This window comes from Homo sapiens, chromosome 7 (assembly GCF_000001405.40).
Source record: "Homo sapiens chromosome 7, GRCh38.p14 Primary Assembly".
In the NCBI taxonomy this organism is placed as follows: Eukaryota; Metazoa; Chordata; class Mammalia; order Primates; family Hominidae; genus Homo; species Homo sapiens.
In genome coordinates, this window is record NC_000007.14 from 34,209,781 (window position 1) to 34,215,383 (window position 5,603).

General features: G+C 42.7%; 1 annotated feature.

The window, feature by feature from the left end:
- Positions 2,067 to 2,596: an enhancer, noted in NCBI's record as "NANOG hESC enhancer chr7:34251459-34251988 (GRCh37/hg19 assembly coordinates)". NCBI's record gives its function as "activates a minimal SCP1, AML or CMV promoter by ChIP-STARR-seq in naive H9 embryonic stem cells {active_cell/tissue: H9 hESC(naive)}" and the evidence as "EXISTENCE:reporter gene assay evidence [ECO:0000049][PMID:30033119]".

Consider the following 5,603-nt stretch of genomic DNA (forward strand, 5'->3'; position numbering starts at 1 on the left):
CTAAAAAAGGTCACACTTTTGTCTCATTCCTGCTCCAGAATCAATACGAGTCACCTGGTGCCCTTATTCTCCTCTTTCCTTCATTCTTGTTTGACCTGGTTTTGTGGACCTTTATCAGCAAAGACTAGCAGTGTTCTCATGGTATTACATGACATGGTTGAATGATAATCATTTTGGAGCTCTGTGTGTGTGTGACAGGGAGCATTCCTAGTACACACAGGCGTTGACTTTAAGACCAAAATCTGTAGGCCTTTACCCTGCATATCACACCAACTCAGACTCAACATCTCTAATCCACGCTCTCTAACTCCTTACCCACCCCACCACTCCAATCAAGCCAATACCTTCCCTGGTCTGCCCTAGGCCACTCACTTTCCAATTGCTCCTCTCACTTTTCTCCTCTTAGAGTCCCCCTTTAACTCATTCTCCATAAAGCAGTCCATAAAGAATGGTCTTTCAGAAATGTAAATTAGAACATATCACTCTCCTGCTCAAACTCTCTGAGGACTTGGAGTGAAAATACAAGCTCTTATCTTACCTCATAAATATCTGAATAATGCTGCCTGATTTGTCAGCTCCTAGCGACCTTGGAAATGGGGCTGGTGCACATTGGGATGTGCTGTGAGTATGACACACTCACCAGATTTAGATGACTTTGCATGAATAAAAGAGTAAAAATTCTCTAATTAATAATTTTTATGATGATTGCATATTGAAATAATAATATTTTGAATTTGTTGGGTTAAGTAAAAATCTGTTTCTTTGTTTTTGAGACAGATTCTCCCTCTGTGAGCCAGGCTGGTGTGCAGTGGCACGATCTCGGCTCACTGCAAACTCCTCCTCTCGGGTTCCTGTGATTCTTGTGCCTCAGCCTCCTAAGCAGCTGGGATTAGAGGCGTGTGCCACCATGCCTAGCTAATTTTTGTAGTTTTAGTAGAGACGGGGTTTCACCATGTTGGCCAGGCTGGTCTCAAAATTCTGACCTCAGGTGATCCACCTGCCTCAGCCTCCCAAAGTGCTGGGATTACAAGCATTAGCCACCATGCCCAGCCATCAAAAATTTATATTTTAAATTAGTTTTACCATTGTTATGCATGTCTATATCTAGATAGAAAGATAGACAGACATATAGATGGTAGGTAGATAGATTAGATAGATAGATAGATAGATAGATAGATAGATAGACAGATAAGATAGATAGATGATAGATAGATAGATAGATAGACTCTATCTATATACATACACACTAGAGAATTTTAAGTTACACATGTGGCTCACATTATGTTTTCACTGGACAGCACCAGTCTAAGTGATCTAATGGCTGCCTGACTCTGACTTGCCTTCTGCCCTCCCCCTGCTTGCCCTCTGAGCTCTGTCACTCTGCCCTTCCTCCTTTTCCCTGGTCAGGCAGTGTTCATCCCCACCCTATGGCATTCCTTCTCATTGTTTACTCTGTCTGGAAGGCTTCCCCTCATCTCAGCCTGGAAGGCTCCTTCTCTTCTTTCAGAGTTCAGCTCAATGTCACCTGCTCTGAGATGTCTATCTCATAAAAGTGGCTATGCTATCATTTTTCTTACCATAGCATCCTATTTCTTGTCTGCATAGCACTTATCATGAGCTGATGGCTTCCTTCCTTCCGTTCCTTCCTCCCACCCTTTCTTCCTTCCTCACCTCCACAATATAACCTCTATAAAAGCAGGCACTTTGTCTTGTTCGTTATTGTGTCTTGGTGACAATAATAGATCCTGGCATGCAGAAGGCACTAAAGCAAAATTTGTTGAATGAATAAATATGATTTTGAGTCATGGATGCTGTCAAGACAAAATAGCCAGAGAGGTATTTATTGAGCACATCTTATGTGTCAGACATTGTAAGACAAACTATATATATCCTATCTCATAGACATACACTAGCTATAGATCTCATAGATATATGTTTTGTCTCACTTGGGGTCTGCAAACTGTGTCCTATGAATCTAATCTGTTCTGCTATGCGGTGTTGTAAATAAATATTTTTTGGAACATGGCCAAGCTCAGTTGTTTAAATATTGTCCACGGCTGCTTTTGTAACACAACACATAGTAGAACAGTTGCTAGAGGGACTGTATGGCCTGATATTTACTTTCTGGTCATTTACATTAAAAGTTTCCTGATTTCTAAGGTAGATAAGGGGTGACCTGAAAGGGCTATAGTCTCCCCAATAAGTTCTTGATTCTTCTAGATGAACGTGAAATCAAAGTAAAATCCCTGTGGTTCAAATGCAGCTTCAATGGAACTTTCTCAACCTCCCCTTGAGACTACATTGTGTCCTCAAGTACCTTTATGGAGACATGATAGACATGCGTTGGCAAAACCAACCCAACACTGTGAGTGAGGTATTATGATGCTCATTTGGCAGATGAGGTGACAGAGATTCAAACTAGTTAAATACAGAGCTGGGATTGAAGTCCTGACCTGCCTCATTCTGTGGCTACAGCAGTTTGAGAAATCCATACAGAATGCCCTCCACACTTCCACATGCACACTTTAAAGAATTACCCTGAATGCCGCGACTGTCTTAGTTTTTGCTTCAGCATGGGTAATTAATGTCAAGTCCTGGAAGGCCGACTATAGAGTGTACCTGGCTCCTGGGCAAGCTATTAAAGAGTCTGAGGAGCCTATATCAAATCTGAAAATAGTAATGATCTCTGGCTTCGTTATAATAGAAAGCAAATGAAAATGATGCTTAAAAATTGTTACTGAACTTGTGTGGCATGCACTTTTTTCTTTGCATATTTTTTTTTAAGTTACATATAAAAATTTTCCATGGTTGACCAAGTTTGCCTTGATTTCAAGCCATTGTATTAATGTCTGTTTTTATTTTTTCTAGCCTCCATTTCCTCTCATTACCAAAATTTTTTTTAAAAAAACCTTGAATTGACAGAGAGTCACTAAGATAAGCACAGTGTGGCTTAAAAAATTATTTGCAATAGAAAAAACAGATTTCTGTGATTAGTTTGTCCCCTCTAGACTCTGCCTCCTCCCCACAGTGTGTGGCCCTCTTCCTTGGCCCAATTCAGCTTTTGATGTGATATCCTAGTGACTTCTGGGTTGTCCACAGGCATCTCACCCAGTTATCCAATCCTACTTTCTGATCCTGGCACTTGCCTAAGAAATGGTTCTGAGAGGCTCAGTCTGATTGACCAGAGCCTGGTGCCCATCTCCCTGGCAATCTTGAAGTCACAAGTGACTACATGAACCTGAGTCCTTACATTGACCAAAACGAGGAAGAAGAGAGAAGAGACGCTGTAGAGAGCAAATTCTCATCTATGTAACTCAACTTATCTGTTTCTGACACATGAAAAGTGCATGCAAATACTTGTTAGTAGGGTGGATGGGTGGGGGGATGACTGAATGGATGGGTGGATGGATGAGTGGAACAAAGTAAGAGTTAAGTTTGGTTCACCGGGACTTTGTTAGGTTTGGGGTGGGATGAGCGAGGGGAATATTTTAATTGTTGTTTTAGTGTGCTGTTTTATATCTTCTTCAGTCAATTCTAAAAAGCATAAAATATCATCTGCTTGGTCTTCCATGACAGAACACATTAGCCAGTGTTGTTTATTTTGTGACACTCAAGCAATGAGCTGTCAAAACCAATCTGCCCATTTAATCGATTCTGACTTGTTTCCGAAAAGTGAAATTTAGCCTTTTACTGTTGTTAGCCATTATCCCTCTTCCAGTAAAATCTGAATTTTCACAGGTCATGCTAGATCACAAATAGTAATTCCACTGCACTAACATTTACACGCTGTGAGTAACTGAGAGCTGTGTCTATGGTAGCACTTGACTTGGGATACTCTTTAACCTCGGGCTACCAACATAAGACAAAATCAAGTTACAGTCGCCAGGGAGAGTAAGCAGTGTGGGAAAATGCCCAAAATAGCTCTACTTGTTTAAGATTTCCTTATTGATAATTGCAGCATATAAAACGTATATATAGAAACTTCTTGGGCTGCCTGCATTTACTTGTTTCAGTTAGCACACCCTTTTATTTAGGCCCCCGCTAGCTCCATGGCTGTGCCTCAGTTTACAGTGAGAGTAAACTGCACGATGAAAGAAAGCCAACCATATGCTGCCACTGCAGTATGGGTGTGTGTGTGTGTGTGTGTGTGGGTTTGTGTGCATGTGGACATTCGAGTCACAGAGCCAGTTAGGAGTGCCTGGAAGCACTGGCACCCTGAGGATGTTCTAGCTGTCTCTGGCGCCATGCTTATTCGGCTGCTGTCCCTACCACAAAATTGGCTTTCAGTACCATACCTTGAACATCAGGAGAGGGTCTTTATCCTAAAATCCTGGGGCCAAGATATTAAGAAAGTCCTTTATAGTTTCATAACTGTTTTTAGTAGGCAGTGTGGCTTTATTCCTTCTTTGATTGGGAAATGGAGGGGGTTGTTCATAGGCTAGAACAGAGGAAACAACTTATCCCCCTGAGCCCTATCAACCATATGAGCTAATGCACTATCATGACTATGCCAAGACTATGATTCAAAGAAACTACTAGAAGGCCGGGTGTAGTGGCTCACGCCTGTAATCCCAGCACTTTGGGAGGCTGAGGGGGGTGGATCACTTGAGGCCAGGAGTTCAAAACCAGCCTGGCCAACATGGTGAAACCCCGTCTCTACTAAAAATATAAAAATTAGCCAGGCATTGTGACACATGCCTGTACTCCCAGCTACTCGGGAGGTTGAGGCAGGAGAATCGTTTGAACCTGGGAGGCGGAGGTTGCAGTGAGCCGAGATCGCTCCACTGCACTCCAGCCTGGACGACAGAGTGAGACCCCATCTCAAATAAATGAAAGAAAGAAAGAAAGAAAGAAAGAAAGAAAGAAAGAAAGAAAGAAAGAAAGAAAGAAAGAAAAGAAAGAAAATAAATTACTAAAGAAGGCAGTGTGGAAGCCAGACTCTGAGACTGTGAGGCAGGCAAAGAAGGTAGTTACATGATGGCACCATTTTTCTCCTCTGTTCTCTCTGAGAGCACAGGCCCTGCCTGCAGGTTGCAACCCAAGTCCCACACTGGAACCTGATGATGTCTCCATATCAGCTCTGATCTTCCATGCAACGGCAGCATCAGGCGTATGCAGGGTGGAGCTAGTTTCCTTGCAGTGCCCTGTGTTGTAGTTCTGTTTAAGACTCAGCTTCCTCAGTCAGCAACTGTTGGGCAGTGAACTGGCTGCATCAGTCTTGGCCGTAGAAGTGTCACATTGAAGTTCATTACCACTATTATGGAAAACCAGCTTTTGACTTGAGATCTTTTAGGGTGGGCACTCTTTTTCAAGCGGAAACCATGCCCAGCATTACTGGAGGGTGGTAATGCACCTGTCATGCTGTGGTCAGTCTGATCATACTTGAAGGGCTGGGCTCAGCTCTATGCACCAGTCAGAAAAGGAACTGCAGTGGGTAGATGAGAGGGGCTAAATGCTGGTGTGTGTGGCCTGGGAAACAGCTTTGGAGACGGCATGTATTCTGTGTGGTCCAAGGAACAGATATGTGACCTGTGATCCGGATAGCTTAGGGACACAGAGTCGTCACTGGCATTTTTCGGTAAACAGGGTAAAAATGTTTCTAA